This window comes from Homo sapiens, chromosome 2 (genome assembly GCF_000001405.40).
Source record: "Homo sapiens chromosome 2, GRCh38.p14 Primary Assembly".
Lineage (NCBI taxonomy): Eukaryota > Metazoa > Chordata > Mammalia > Primates > Hominidae > Homo > Homo sapiens.
In genome coordinates this window covers 194,887,239-194,904,579 of record NC_000002.12, presented here as the reverse complement: position 1 = coordinate 194,904,579, position 17,341 = coordinate 194,887,239, and the positions used below count along the sequence as shown (strand labels likewise).

The following is a 17,341-nucleotide window of genomic DNA, read 5'->3' as shown; positions in this document are numbered from 1 at the left end:
ATTTTCTTGATCCTGTTTTTTAAGCCTCATTTTGATTTCTAGGTTGAATATAACAATTATCATAGTAATAATAGTTTACTATTATCATAGTAAAAACGTTCTATATTTTCATATTTTACCAAAAGGCAGTTCACACTATTTAATGTTGTAGGCTTTTGTCAAAATGGCAACAATTTGGATGCATTTAAAAATACAAAATTTAAATCTATATAAATTTTTTTCTCAATTCTACCTCCTGAACAAGTAGGACTCCAGGGTGCTGAGGTCAGTGTGGGAAAGAGTATCTCAATGTCTGGGTTTGGTATGGGAGATGCTGTAATACTTGCTTTATGGATGCAATTGATGAACCTAGGCAGAAATATTGGAAACAACATATTTTTGAAAATTAAAACCTGGAGTTGGGCCGGAAGCGGTGGCTCACGCCTGTAATCCCAGCACTTTGGGAGGCCGAGGCAGACAGATCACGAGGTCAGGAGATCGAGACCATCCTGGCTAATACGGTGAAACCCCGTCTCTACTAAAAAATACAAAAAATTAGCCGGGCATGCTGGTGGGCGCCCGTAGTCCCAACTACTCAGGAGGCCGAGGCAGGAGAATCGCTTGAACCCGGGAGACGGAGCTTGCAGTGAACCAAGATCGCGCCACTGCACTCCAGCCTGGGTGACAGAGTGAGACTCCATCTCAAACAACAACAACAAACAACAACAACAACAACAACTACAAAAAACTGGAGTTAAGATCAAACCAATTTACTAATCTGAAAGTATTAATTAGAGGATGATAATGAAAGTATGTCCCCAGTACAAAAACTAGGACAATTAACTCAAAAATACATATATGTGTTTATGTCCACATATACATATAAAATTTTATAACAGAAGGTGAGAATGGGATCTAAGTCAACTTCTACATGGTAAATAGGTGCAGTAATTTTTACTGGTGGGTGACCATAGCAATACAAAGATGGGAAGGAAGGGTGGATGAACAATACTATAGGTACTGTTGGTTGGAGGAAAGAAATGGTAGCCCTGGACATAGCTGAGTGATTTTAGGATCCTTAAATAGATTCATGCCCAAGTGTCTTAGTCTGTTTGGGCTGCTATAACACAAATATCACAGATCGGGTGGCTTAACAACAAACATTTATTTCTCACAGTTCTGGAGGGTAGAAAGTCTATGATGAAGGCATTGGCAGATTCAGTGTCTGATGAGGGCCCACTTCCTGGTTCACAGATGACCATCTTCTCACTGTGTCCTCACTTAGCAGAAGGGGTGAGGAAGCTCTGTGGGGTTTCTGTTATAGGGCACTAATCCCATTTATGAGGGCTCCACCTTCATGACCCAATCACCTCCTAGAGGCCACCTCCAAACACCATCACTTGGGATTAGGCTTCAATGTATAAATTTTAGGGGGACATAAAAATTCAGTTTTTGCGCCAAGCATGGGAAATATAGCACTGAAGGCCGTATCCTCTCATCAATTTTTCAAATTGGTAATAACAACAATAATAGTGATAAAAATCATTAAAATAATGACAGTTATTTATAACCTTGCACCCCCACCCATAAAACCAGCCTCATCTTTTCCACTATTCGCTCTGTGAAGGCCCAAACAAGGCAATCAAATTATTCAAGTTATATCCCAGGAATATTACTTGGCACCTTCTCAACAAACCTTCTCCCAGAGTCATCATAGCCATCCCTAATCCTATCTATATCACTCTCTAAATATCAGCAGCTTTACAGTTCTTTCCATGTTCATCACTATCACCTATTCCAAGCTACCGTCCTGGCTCAAATGGAATATATAATAGCACTTTCACTTGATTATATTATTGTTCAAAAATAGTTCATTTACTCCCCCCAAACTTTTCATGGGGCAGTAAAATTTTCCACAACTTGGCCTCAAGAAAGTGAATGGGAAAGTGAAAAATGCCTTTGGTCAATGCTTAATATGCTTTTGTATTTGAGTGTGCCCTCTTGTGCCTCTACCATTGCTGGGAGAATATATTTCCAGCTAGCTCACTGGTCCAAAGAAAATAGACAAGTAGCTTGCTGTGAAAAATCATAGTAGGGATTTGAAAATTAATATAATTTGTCCTGATATTTAAATTACAAATAAATTATTTTAAAACGGACTTGTATTTTATGAGCTTCTGAAAAAAAATCACAATTTGACCTTAATTCTAACATATATGTTAACATTGATAAGTATTGTCAACCGAGACCCGATCCTGAAGCCTCAACCATAGATGCCATTTAGTGTGATTCAGTACAAGGCTATATTAAAACAGAACCAAACAAAATGAAACAAACAAAAATCTACCTCTAATTCATAATGCATAATGTGAAACCTAAACTAAAGAAATACCTCTGCTGTTGAAAGCATCATTGTTAGGTGATGCCCAGTGGAGAAGACTGACATTGTAGGTGATCAAGCATAAACAAACATAGGAGCAAAAACATCATAATGGAAATATATATTTGGAAAGTATCTCCAAGTATAACATGATATATTGGAAATCATGGATAACTAATGCCTGGGGAGATATGTGTTGGAAAATGATAAAAAATGATTTTTAAAAATCTTGCAAAGGGAAACAAAACTTTTAGATCAATAATAAAAACCCCAAAAAGGCAGAAAGTATTTCAGTGTTTTCAGGTGAACACCATAACAGGAGATACCCATTATCTTATGGTTTTCTTTACCGAAGTATTATAGTAAGTCAATGATTTATTTTACTCTGCTCAAGGAAGACCTCATCCGCAAAGTAATGTGGGTACAATGAAACCAGTAATAACCATGCGAATCTTCAATATCTTCCCACATTGGATGTCTATTGGTTGAACAGTGTGCAAGAGAGAAAATCTGTCCCACTTATAATGGCTCCAGCTGACAGACAGGTTTTGTGCTTTGATGCAATGTATCTTTAAAGGTTCCAGAAATAAAGAGGAATACTTGAACTGGGCTAAAGTCTTTCTCAGACTTGGATTCATTCACATATGATTATAATTGTAAACCTGATTATATTTTTAGTCAGAATCAGAGGACAGTAGATAATTTTCACATTACATTTATAGACTGGTTATTACTAAGCCATTGAGTAGAATTAAACAGCCACGGCTGTTTTCAATACTGTATGGTCGACAATAGAAATAACTAAGAATTTATTTACAATAAACTAGGGTGTCAATCTATATAAAAACTAGCTTTTATGTTTTTACTATACTTCTCTCTCAATTTTATCCATCCTTCTATGCTATCTTACAATTTATTGGTTTTGTCTGAATAATGCTAGAAAATTGACTTGACATTATTTAAAACTATGATCTGTGGAAAATTGTTACCCTGAGTACCTAAGAAGTATATCACTAAAACTCTATGCTGAAGTGTAGACATGTTTGTGCTATTGTTAAAAGCACTTTCCTATCCGCTGCTGCTGTTTGGTTAGCCGCAGCTTAGCTGAGAACAGTCAGGATTGTAAATTGCTGACTCCTTGGAGACATACTACACAATGACACTGAAACCAGTAACATAAAATCAATTATTTATCTTGTATGCAATATATAAGAAAAATAATAACACTTTTAAAAACATTGGAAGTTAAAGAAGGCCAGTGTAGCTTGTTTTGCTTTTGAAAGCTAATCTATGTTATTTGATGACAGAAATGTTGAAAACTGTATTGTTTCTGTATTATGTCACAGAATAGCAGCCTCAGCCTTTATATATCTAAAATCTGCCCTTACCTTGTTTTAAAGTTATATTTAGTCTGTTTGTAAGTCTGATGAATAAAATTGACAAATTTGGAATTGGTCAATTAATTGTTATTATGGGAAATAGCTTTTAAAACTTATGTAATTAATAACAGTAATATCACTCAGGGTATATGTCCTAATTTTTACAATTTTGTTAGCACCTTTTTTGTTCTATAGTGAAGATGTAAAAGTGTTTTTTTCTATGTAAAAATTCTGAAATTAAAAACTTAATGGACAACTTTTCATTTATTTTAAATTAATCCTGAGGTTCCCGAGTAACAACTGTCAGGAACACTGAGAGATACATTAAATTGCTAGGGAAACTTAGCAATATCTGTTGGACATCAAGAGAACTACTAGTTTGAAAAGTGCTACAGACTGCATATTTGTATCATCCACAAATTCGTATGTTGAAATTCCAACCACTAAGGTGATGCTATTAAGAGGTAGAGCCTTTTGGCGTTTTGTTATTTAATAAACTGTTAGTTATTTCTTTTTGTTAAAGGAGGCCATGAAAAATTATTGGGATCCTAAACTACTGAGAACTGAGAAAATTTGTGAGCCTCTGAGATAATCAATCTATTGATTTAATAAATAGGTGTTGAATTCTATGTGACAGGTGCTGTTCCAAGTTCTGGTACATAGTGATGAATAAAACAATCATGGTTGCTGGCTCCATGGGTTTTACTGTCCACCGTAGGCTTTTGCCAAGTTGTTAATCTATGACAAGATAGTAAAAGTATATGAGTTACACTGCATACAGAGGAAATGCTATCTACTATTTATATGCCTTTATATTACCTGCAATCTATTTTCACTGCTAGTTTTTTTTTTATTACATTTATTCTATGTCAAGTTTGCCCCTGGGCTACACCGTAAGACAGATGGAGTCTCCTGCATCCCTTGGCATTGTTTTCCATGGCCTTCATTCATTCATGGCACAATTGTTTCCCAAGTCCCTGGACTGTTATTAGCTTCCATGGCTGCACAGAATCCTTCATTTTATCCTTTCTCCTGAGCTTACATTTCCAGAAATGACTCATGTTGCAGACTTATACTTCCCAATTTTATTCATCTACTAAAATATCCATTTTCTGACTAAACTGTATTCTAACAAAATAATTCAAAGGAATGAATGATGTTATTTTGGTAGAAATATGTGTATATACACACAACACAACATACATACACACACACACACACCCCATAGTGAGAGTAAAGTCAGGAGAACATTATGGAAAGTCTTTGAGAAAGGTTCATATTGTACCATAAAATCTACTTATCTTTTCCTTTTGTATTCTAGCTGTTTTTTAATCATACCTTTAGCACTTATCCTCAGTAAGTCCCTTTGCATTCCACCTATATACCTTACCTATTCTAAGTTGCTTTTTTATTATTACCCAAAAGAAATCCTTTCTCTCATTGTCTTCACTCTCCCTTTCATGCAGGTGAACTCCCGTAACATATCTCTGGTCCAAGATTTTCTTCAGGCTACAATTTCCTGAAATTTATGGTCTTCTAATCCATATCTTTAAATATTTTAAGATCAATATTCCCTGTTGACTTCAACCTGTAACAATTATACTGCTTTTTTAAAATCTTGCTCTTTTTATCTGTTTTTTCAAATATGGATTTTTTTCTCTAATTGTTGATTCTATATTATTTAACATTTTGTATCCTATGCTACTAACTAGACTGTAGACTCCTTTCCAATCTACCAACTAGATTGTATACTCCTTTCTAATAATAACCACTTCTTTTACTTGGAGAAATTCTGTCCTGGGATAGAAGAGTATTGTAGTCTATTTTCCCTATAGAAATCAAGTATGAGTAATTATATGCCAACTCTTTCCTGAAAGATGTAATTTGATACAATGGTAAAAGAAAGAAGGATGTAAGGCAGAGCAGGAGGGACTGCAAAACTAAGATGGGATCTTGCAGATATGCTGACAGCTTCACCAGAAATTGGAGCTTGGCCACATGGAAGATCTTTGGAGAAGGTGTAAGAAACATTGAGTTGAAGTGCAAAAAATGATGTGATGGATCTTTCCTGTTGTCTGTCTTTCATTGGCCAAAGTTTACCCCAAAGGGTAACTTCCAACCTGTGTTTCCCAACCCCTGTGTGTCACTTTCTCAGAAGCCTGATCTCATGTGTGAAATTGATAGAAAACAAACAAAACCTAATTTAATGCACATTTTTATATTTTTTGAGAAAAATCATGTTCGATGTTTGAAAAAGTTTTTAAAATTTTATATTATCTCATATAAATTAAATAATAAAACAAGGATAGATTTATTCATTTATTTTATTCAACAAATACTTACCATGTGCCCAAATCTACCAAAAATTTGTTTTAGGTGATGAGTTATGAGAATGAACTGATAGGCAAACTAACTGTCCTCATGTACTTTATATCTCAGTGGAGAAAGATGAACAAATCATAAGTAAATTATTATGTAATATTTTAGATGGTGATAACTGTATGGGAATGAAATAAAGTATTGAAGTAGCTAATGTGCTGTATGAGAATGTACAGAATTTCAAATAGGAAAGTTTGGAGCGGCCTCTTTATAAAAATGGCATATCAATGGAGATCCAAAAGAGGTGAATGAGTGAACAAAGATTTGAAGTGGGTAGTAAAGCATTTAAGGCAGAAGGAAGAGCAAGAGCCCAGTTCCTGAAATGGGGACATTTTAAATGTGTTCAACAGGTAGAATGGGGGTCAATGTGGCTAAAACGAAGTGGATGAGTGAAGGAGAGTATTAGAAAACAAAGTCAGAGAAATGACAGTAGCCAGAAATGTTAGGCTTTTAAAGCTATTTAAGAACTTTGGGTCTTGTTCTGATGGAGATGAGAAAGCATTTTAGGGTTTTGAGCAGAGAAGTGACACAATCTGACTTAAATTTTGACAGGAACTTTGTGACCACTTTATTAAGATTAGTTAATAAGACTATTGCAGCAACGGTGACTTGGATTAGACAAGTTGGTATGGAGTTATGTATTGTAAGGTCCGTGATTCCATGTGCTGCCTGCTCGGATATATATGAGTCTCACAGGGCCCCAAAGTCCTGAAGCTTGAGTTTTGCTGTTTTTACCAGATATTCCCCCAACCTAGTGAGAAAGATTCCTCACCCAGCTAGTTCTCCTGATAACCAGATCAGCTACACTCTCCCTGATCCTTAATGGGTTTCACGTTCTTGGCAGCCCACAGAATTATTCGATAAGCCAATCACCTATGGGAACTAGAGGCCACCCTACCTTCCTGGTATGAAAATTCTGCCTTCCATAGCCCCAGATCAATCAATCTGCAAAATAAGATGGTAAAGTAGTAAAAGTCCATTTTCTGGAAAATAGATCCAATAAAATTTGCATTCATATTGAATATGAAGTGCAAGAGAAAAAAAATACTTAAAAACAGCTCCATGAGAGAGAGGCAGAGTGAGATGGCTAAATAGAAGACTCCCCCGATCATCCTCTTTGCAGGAACATCAAATTTGACAACTATCTACACAAAAAAATACCTTCCTAAGAACCAAAAATCAAGTGAGTGATCATGGTAACTGGTTTTAAATTCATATCACCGAAAGAGGCACTGAGAAGGGGAGGAAAGAGAGTCTTGAATGACCAACAACATCCCTCCTCAATATTCCAGCAGCAGCTCCCATGGCATGGAGCAGGAATCTATGTGCTAAGCAAGAGAGAGAGAGAGAGTGCAACTATTGTGGGACTTTGCTCTGGAAGCCAGTGCTGCCAAAACTGGGCAGAACTCAGCTGATGCCCATGGAGGGAACATTTAGACCAGCCCTAGCCATAGGGGAATTGCACATCCAAGTGGCAGAAAACTGAGTTTCAGCAAGCCTCACCACCGTGCTCTAAAGTGCTTTGGGGTCCTAAATAAACTTGAAAACTTGTCTAGAATACAAGGACTGCAACTCCTAGGCAAGGCCTAGAGCTGTGCTGGGATTGAAGCCAGTGGATTTTGGGGGCATGTGACCTAGTGCTGTGCTGGCTTCAGGTCTGATCCATTGCAGTCCCAGTGGTGGTGGCCCCAGGGGTGTTTTGTCACCCCTCCTCAAGCTCCAGGCAGGTCAGCACAGAGAGAGAGAGAGTTCCTTTTGTATGGGGGAAAGTAAGAAAAAAAAAAAAACACTATCTGTCTGGTAATCCAGATAATTACTTCAGTCTCATCCAAGACCACTAAGGCAGTACCTCTACAAGACTGCAAGGACTACAATGTTACTGGACTTGAAGTTCACCCTAAAGAAGATATGGCTGCAATGACCAAAATCTTATATCGCAGCACCCAAGTCCATTTGAATACCTGGAAAGCCTTCCCAAGAAAATGGTACAGCCAAGCCTGATTGTGAAGACTACAGTAATACCTAATTCTTCAATGCCTAGACATTGAGAAACATCCACAAGCATGATGGCCCTCCAGGAAAACATTACTTCATCAAATGAATTAAATAAGGCACCGGGGCAGTCCCAGAGAGATGGAGATATGAGACTTTTTAGACAGATAATTCAAAATAGTTGCTTTGGATGGGCGCAGTGGCTCATGCCTGTAACCCCAGCACTTTGAGAAGCCAAGGCGGGCATATCACAAGGTCAGGAGGTCGAGACCATCCTGGCTAACATGGTGAAACCCAGTCTCTACTAAAATTACAGAAAAATAAAAATAAAAAAATATCCGGGTATGGTGGCATGCAGCTGTAATCCCAGCTACTCGGGAGGCTGAGGCAGGAGAATTGCTTGAACCTGAGAGGCAGAGGTTGCAGTGAGCTGAAATTGCACCACTGCACTCCACCCTGGGTGACAGAGCGAGACTCTGTTGCAAAAAAAAAAAAAAAAAAATTGCTTTGGGGAAACTGAAAGAAATTCAAGATAACCCACAGAAGGAATTTAGAATCCTATCAGATAAATTTAACAAATAAATTGAAATAATTAAAAAGAGTTAAGCAGCAATACGGAACTGAAAAATTCAATTCGTATCCTAAGGAATGCATCAGAGTCTCTTAATAGCAAATTGATCAAACAGAATAAAGAATTAGTGAGCTTGAAGACAGGCTATCTGAGAATACACAGAGGAGAAAAAGGAAAAAAGAAAAAAAAATAATGAAGCATTCCTATGAGATATAGAAAGTGGCTTTTTTAAAAGGCCAATCTAAGAGTAATTGGCCTTAAAGAGGAGGTAGAGAGAAATAGAGGTAGAAAGTTTATTCAAAGGGATAATAACAGAGAAATTCACAAACCTAGAGAGAGATATCAATATTTAAGTACAGGAAGGTTATAGAACACCAAGCAGATTTAACCCAAAGAAGAGTACCTCAAGGTATTTAATAATCAAACTTCAAAGCTTAAAAATAAACAAAGGATCCTAAAAGCAGCAAGGGAAAATAAACAAATAATATGTAATGGAGCTCCAATACATCTGGCAGCAGACTTCTCAGTGGAAACATTCAGGCCAGGAGAGAGTGCCATGACACATTCAATGGGCTAAAGGTAAAACACTTTTACCTTATAATAGTATATCCATTGAAAATATCCTTCAAACATGAAGGAGAAACAAAGACTTTACCAGCCAAACAAAAGCTGAGGAATTTCATCAACACCAGACCTGTCCTGCAAAAAATGCTAAAGGGAGTTCTTCAATCTGAAGGAAAAGAAGTTAATGAACAATAAGAAATCATCTGAAGGTACAAAACTCGCTGATAATAATAAACAGAAAGACACAGAATATAATAACATTGTAATTATGGTATTTAAACTACTCATATGTTAAGTAGAAAAATGAAACGATGAACCAATCAAAATAATAACCCCGACAACATTTCAAGACATAGTACAATAAGATAGAAATAACAAGAAGTTAAAAATTGGGGAGACAAAGTTAAATAATAGAGTTTGTAATAGTTTTCTTTTTGCCTGTTTGTTTATATAATCAGTTTTAAGTTTCATCTGTTTAAAATAATGAACTATAAGATATTATTTGCAAGCTTCATGGTAACCTCAAACCTGAAACTGTACAATAGATACCCAGAAAATAAAAAGGAAAAAAATTAAAACATACCACCAGAGAAAATCACCAGAGAAAAGGAAGAAAGGAAGGAAGCAAAAAAGGAAGAGAATATTACCAAACAGCCAGAAAATGAATAACAGTATGACAGGAGTAAGTCCTTATTTATCATTAATAACATTGAATGTAAATGATCTAAACTTTCTAATCAGAAGACATTGAATGGCTTAACAGAGTAAGAAAAAAAACAGGACCCTACAATCTATTGCCTACAAGAAACACACTTTACCTTAAATCTGCTTGGTGTTCTATAACCTTCTTGTACTTAAAGACACACATAGAATTATAATAAAGGGATGGAAAAAGATATTCCATGGAAATGGAAACCGAAGAGGAGGAGTAGCTATACTTATGTCACACATAACTATAAAAAGAGACAAAGAAGTTCATTATATGATATAGGTGTCAATTCAGCAGGAGGATAAAACAATTGGAAATATATATGCATCCAACATTGGAGCATCCAGATATATAAAGCAAGTATTCTTACAGTTAAAGATATAAACCCCAATAGAATAATAGCTGGAGACTTCAACACCCTACTTTCAGCATTGTACACGTCATCCACAGAGAAAATCAACAAAGAAACATTATACTTACTCTTCACTATGGACCAAATGTACCTAATAGATATTTACAGATCATTTCATCCAGGGGCTACAGAATATACATTCTTCTCCTCAGCATATGGATGATTCTCAAAGATAGACCATATGTGAGGCCACAAAACAAGTTTGAAAACATTAAAAAGTTGAAATAGTATCAAGTAACTTCTCTGACCACAATGGAATAAAACTAGAAGTAAATACAAGAGGAATTTTGGCAACTATCTAAACACAGGGAAATTAAACAATATGCTCTTGAATGACTAATGGGTCAATGAAGATATTAAAAAATAAATTGAAAATTTTTTTGAAACAAGTGATAATGGAAACACAATAGCCAAAATCTATGGGATACAACAAAAGTAGTAGTAAGAGGGAAATGAGCATAAGTGCCTATATTAATAAAGAAAAAAACTTTAAACAATCCAATGATGAATCTTAAAGAACTAGAAAAGTGAAAGCTAACCAAACCCAAAGCTAGTAGAAGAAAAGAAATAATAAAGATCAGAGCAGAGATGAATGAAATTGATAGAGGAAAACAATGCAAAAGATCAAAGATATGAAAAGCTGGTTCTTTGAAAAGAAAAACAAAATTCACAAACCTTTAGCAGACTAAGAAAACAAGAGAGAAGACCCAAATAAATAAAATCAGAGATGAAAAAGGAGACATTACAACTGATATTGCAGAAAGTCAAAGGATTATTAGAGGCCACTATGAACAATTATATGCCAATAAATTTGAAAACCCAGAAAAAAATAGGTAAGTTCCTAGACACATAAAACTTACCAAAACTGAACCGTGAAGATATACAAAACCCAAGTAGACCAATAACAAGTAACAAGATGGAAGCCATAATTAAAAGTCTCCCAGCAAAGAAAAGCCCCAGACATGATGGCTTCACTCCTGAATTTTATCAGACGTTTAAAGAACATTAGTTCTTTAAACTAAATAGTTTTAAACTAAAACTATTTTTAAAAAAAATGGAGGCCAAGGGAATACGTCCAAACTCATTTTATGAGGCAGGTTTTGCCCTGATACCAAAACTAGGCAAAGACACAACAGAAAAAGAAAACTACAGGCCAATATCTCTGATGAACGTTGATGAAAAAATCCTCAACGAAATACTAGCAAACCAAATTCAACAACACATGAAAAAGATAATCCATCACGACCAAGTGAGATGTATCCCAGGCATTCAAGGATGTTTCAACATATGCAAAGTAATCAATGTGACACATCATATTAACAGAATAAAGGACAAAATCCTTTATCCTTTTGGGCAAAAGATGTGAATAGACATTTCTCAAAATAAAACATACAAATGGAAATCATGTATATGAAAAGGTGCTCAGCATCATTGATCATCAGATAAATGCAAATCAAAGCTACAGTGAGATATCATCTCACCTCAGTTAAATTGGTTTATATATATAAAAAAGGCAATAACAAATGCTGGTGAGAATGTGGAGAAAAGGGAACCCTTGTACACTGTTGGTGGGAAGGTAAATTAGTACAGCCACTACAAAAAACAGTTGGGAGGTTCCTCATAAAACTAAAAATTGAGCTGCCATATGATCCAGCAATCCCACTGCTGGGTATATACCCCAAAGAAAGGAAATCAGTATATCAAATAGGTATCTGCACTCCCAGGTTTGGTGCAGCACTGTTCACAACAGATAAGTTTAGAAAGCAGCTGTGTCCATCAACAGATAAATGGATTTAAAAAATGTAATACATATATACAGTGGAGTACTATTTGGCTATAAAAAGAATGTTATCCTGTCATTTGCAACAACATGAAGGGAACTGGAGGATATTATGTTAAGTGAAATAAATCAGGCACAGAAAGACAAACTTCACATGTTATCACTTATTTGTGGGAGCTAAAAATTAAAACAATTGAATTCATGGAGTTAGAGAGTCGAATGATGGTTACCAGAGGCTGTGAAGTTTAGTAGAGTGCTAGGGAAGCGGGGATGGTTAACGGGTACAAAATACAGTTAGAAAGAATGAATAAGACCCACATTTGATAGCACAACAGAGTGATATAGTCAATATCTTATTGTATATTTTAAGTAATTAAAGTATAATTGGACTTTTCATAACAGAAAGGATACATGCTTGAGGTGATGGCTATCCCATTTACTCTGATGTGACTATTACACATGGTATGCTTGTATAAAAATATTACATATACCCCATAAATATATATACCTACTATGTACCCACAAAAATTAAAATAAAAAAATTAATAAAAGAATAGCTCCATGAAAAAAACAAAAAAGAGAGTAAAAGTTCCATGTTTGCTAACATTACTACTGAATTAATACAGTTGCTGTTAATTTATATGGAGACAATTGTGGTAGGAACATATTAGATGGGTGAATTACGAGTTTAGTTTGGGATATATTTCATTTAATGTGTCGAATCAGTTTGGGATTGGCCATGAACATAAAATACTTTATGTAGTTTTGAAATAAAGCCATATGGCTGCACAAAATAAAAAGAAATTTTATGTAGGTAGAGAAGATGTCTGTGGTGGACATGGGGATGAGCTGCCTAGATCCCCCTTCTGGGAGTTCTGTCAATACACAGCCTCCATCTGATTATCCTTAAGGGTTTATCTCAGTTACCCTTGGTGGTCCATCCATATGCAATGACTGATGGACATGAGAATAAGGACTGAGCCATTTTAGCCCACTTTAGGGCAACTCTGATTCTCCTTCTAATGGAGTCTTCTGAAACTGCCATGAATCTGCACTGCAGTTCAGTTTCTCCTACTGGTGCAGTTCCATTTCTGCCCAATATTGCTAACCTCCCCCTTTCTTCACTGGTTTTGATTTCTAATAAATATTCTGCATGCCAAATTGCATATCAATGTCTTTTTCCAAATAACTGAGCCTGTGATAAGGTCCAAGAACTGACCATTGAAGGCTGTCCAGTCTTTAGAGCTTGGGGACTGGAGGACAAACCAGAAAAGAAGACATCAGAGGAAGTGGAAGAAAACCTGAAATGTACAGTTCCTTAGAAGATAAAAGATGATGGTGATTCCATGGAGACAGATCACACCTGAGGCCAATGTTGCTGCTTAATCAAGTGTGATGGAGAACCAGGAAGGCTTAACGGATCACCTGTTATGGTTTAGCTGTGCTCCCTCCCAAAACCTCATCTCTAATTATAATCCCCACGTGTCAAAGGAGAGACCAGATGGAGGTAATTGAATCATGGGGATGTTTTCCCCCTTACTGTTCTCTTGTTAGTGAGTGAGTTCTCGCAAGATCTGATGGTTTTATAAGGGGCTCTGCCCACTTTGCTCAGCACTTCTTCCTGTCACCTTGTGAAAAAAAGTGCCTTCCTTCGCCTCAGCCTTCTGCCGTGGTGGTAAGTTCCCCGAGGCTTCCACAGCCATGCTGAACCATGAGACAATTAAACCTCTTTCTTATAAATTACCAGTCTCCGGCAGTTCTTTATAGCCATATGAAAACGGACTAATACAGCACCATAGGTAATGACTTTTACAAGAGTAGTTTCAGTGGGAGAGGAGGGCCAAAGACTGACCATTTTCCAAGTAGAATGAGAAGAGTTCAAGGAGGTGTTTTGTTTAAGAAGGAAAAAAAACCCAAAATAGTCCGTTTTCATGTTGGTTTTAAAGAACAAATAGGAGAAAAACTGATGCAAGAGAGAGGAGGAAATGCAATCTACTGCAGAAGTAGGAGGTTAGACTAATTTGAAAAAGAGATGGTTAATCTATAGTAAAGGAGGCAAGGCAGAATATGGGTAAATACATACTGTTCCACAGGAAAAGTGTTGAAAAAATACAAATATGATTAAAAATAATTCCTATGGCATAGGCAAGGGAGAAATATTCAAGGACTTCACAATTTTCTTTTATGTCCTGCAACCCCTTCCCTGATGATTTCAAAGCCCATTAAGGTATCCCCTATCTTATCTGAACACTCACAACTGTGGCCATAGTGTATTTTGTTTCTGATTACTTATTGTTAAAATACATGTTTTATTCTGCCATCTACCTTACCTACGTTTTCTTCCCTATCCTTGATTCCTTATTCTGTAACTATATCAACAATTTGCAAAGACACAGGCATAATTTAGGGTACAACTTGCCTCTCTTCATTCTCTATCTTCCCTGCTCCTAGTTAGCACTCAATAAATGTTCATTGATTTATTGCTTAAAATATTATTCCTCCAGAAAACTACTTGGATACCTTCTTCACTTCCTTCAAGTCTTTGCTCAAGTTTTACCTTTGATAATACCCAACCTATGTAATCTTGCAAATTTCCCCAATATTTTTTACTCTATCTTCCAAATGCTCCTTTTTCAGTTTTTACTACGTTTTACTATGTTTCTTATTTGTTATGTTTATTGTGCGCTATCTCCTCCAACATGATGTAGACCCCATGAGGGCAGGGTCTTGTCTTTTGTTTATTAATGATTCCCAAAAGCCTAAAACAGTGCTAGACTCAGAGGTGGCACTCAATAAAGTGAATTAGTAAATACATTTATAATTCCTACACATTTATAGTAGTAATCCCCTGTTCAAATTTTTCAGATTTGTTTAGGAAGATGAGAGAGCTCATCCTTTTCTCCAGTTTTTTTTAAGCATCTATTTCATGCTTGATATTATTTGAAAGTAAAAGACATTATTAACTATTTTTAAATTCAAGAGGTACTACACAAGTTAAAGAAATATTTATTTATCAAATGGTGCTGGGTTCTGTGGTATATAATGTTAAACAATATTTGCTCCCTGCTTTCACATAGTTCATAGCTATTAACAAATGACTTGAAAAAGAAATCATATCTGGTGACATTTTGATGCACTGGGAGTGACTACTTAGGAAACTGTACTGAGCTGAGACCTACTTCAATTAGCTTTGCCCTCTAAGCCTTTGTAAATAGAGTATGGCCTCATGAGTAATATATCTGAATTAGACTGTAAGTTACATAAAGTTAGAAAACTTAATTTTGTTTCTAATTCAATTCACAGATACCAATATTTACATAGTGCTTAATAATTTGACGTTCAACAAATAAATACATGCTACTGACAATGCAATGAATTAGTGTAACAGGATATTTGTATGAAACTAGTTTTACCTCCCTTTTTTGACTGAGGAGCTGCTATCACAGATATCTTAGATGAAAGTGTGTATGAGTCAAATCTCCATATGCAGAATTTGCGATAAAAGTGTTAAAAACAAAACAAAAAAAATGACCTTTTAATCCCCTAATCCGTTGCAGGAGGTAGAGTGGATGACAGTGGAAATGAATATTTCATGAGGAACATATTTCTGAAAAGAAAAGGAAGAAAAGTGCTTTGAAGCCCCATGCTTCATGTGTGTTGTGGAGTGGGAATCTATATTTTTTGGCAGAATTATGTGAAGCTCCCAAGAAAACAGTGGTAGAGAGTGAAAAGTTCAGAGAAATGGTGAAGGAGAGCCCCCTAAACTTATGATTTACTGACTGTGCACATCACAAAGACTTATGCTGTCAGAATCCCTGGTTATTTAATAGGACTTAGTTGAGCTTTCAGAAGGCTCTAGCTCTCTTTATTTCTTGGAATATGTCTGATCCTTGAAATACCTATGTATCTTTGGTTTCTATAAAATCAGGGCATGCACATGATCACATGCTTTTCTGACTTTTTGAACAAATAAATAAATCAGCTATTTCATGGCCTCTATATTCCCTAAGTGGAAATCAAGACTTCTACATAAATAGCTTTAACAAAGATGAAAGAATGACCTGTCTCTGCATGAAAAGATCGTCAAAACTTAAAATGTTATTTTAACATTTAAATGTGTAATTGATGAAAGTGTGTCTTGATAATTTTGCATTAATTTAGCATTCTCATAATTACAGGCATTATTGTGCCTGTTACCCTGAGAACACTTATGCCCAGATAGAGCTCTTCTCTTAGTTCAGTTAATCAGCATTAACAAAGGTGAATTAGGCATCACTGTCTGAAAGTGAATTAAGCATTATTCGTTGACTGGATTTTAGACATTCTAACAAGTTGAATATAGTTTAAATCCTTGGTGAGGACTGAAGAGCTTACAATGCTATATAGAATTATGATCTCTACATCACTTCTTTTTAAACAATATATAATGTAGAGGACTGAACAGCAATATAGTTACTTCAAATTTCAGTCTAAAATTACTTTTTACTAAACTTTTAATATATCATTTTCATATAATATGGTTTTCTTCTTAATGTTAAGAAAAATCTTGATTAATTGAAACCTTGGCTATGGGTTTCTGCTAACCAAAGTTTTACTGCATCTTCTTTCCAAATTCACCTTTGATGTTAATTAGAAATTTAATTTTTAATTCACATACCTTTGTGACTGTAGCTATCCTCTTTAGATATTGATGTACTTTCAATTTTTAAGACATATCATTAAAAGATCATAAGCTGAAAAATATTATTCCTGACATGGGAAATCTTAATAAAGGGAGGGATATTTCAAGCAATATACTGTAGTTATTAGTTAATAAACAGTTTGGTTATAAGCCAATCTTATTATCAATAAAAATTATTCTAATTTTAATTTTTGTTAGACTTTTAATATTTCATTCTCTTCTATGATTTATCACAACTTTGATTTTTGAAAATTTCCTCAAAATTGTTTTCAAATATCATTTTTGATGTTTCTTTGAAAAGACTTATTTAAATTCCAAACATAGAACTCTGTCCATCTATTGATTAAAGAGAATAGAGACCATGAAATAATTAATTATTCTTTTTACTTTCTATTCATTCATATACTCTTTAAGATTTAGTTCTTCACAAATACTCTTAGAAAAGATAAATTACTGACTCGTGGTTTTTGTGTAGCTGATGACATATTTTCTTCTACAGTAAACAACCTATCTGA

General features: G+C 35.4%; 1 long non-coding RNA gene across 1 annotated transcript in view, besides 1 other annotated feature; it reads left to right on the top strand.

Annotated features, from left to right (window-relative positions):
* Positions 1-17,341, top strand: part of LOC105376755 (uncharacterized) — a 673,333-nt gene that overhangs the window by 494,925 nt on the left and 161,067 nt on the right. The window lies entirely within an intron of this gene.
* Positions 466-669: a silencer, noted in NCBI's record as "fragment chr2:195768635-195768838 (GRCh37/hg19 assembly coordinates)". NCBI's record gives its function as "represses an EF-1alpha promoter that drives an FKBP-Casp9 reporter gene in an ReSE screen in K562 erythroleukemia cells {active_cell/tissue: K562}" and the evidence as "EXISTENCE:reporter gene assay evidence [ECO:0000049][PMID:32094911]".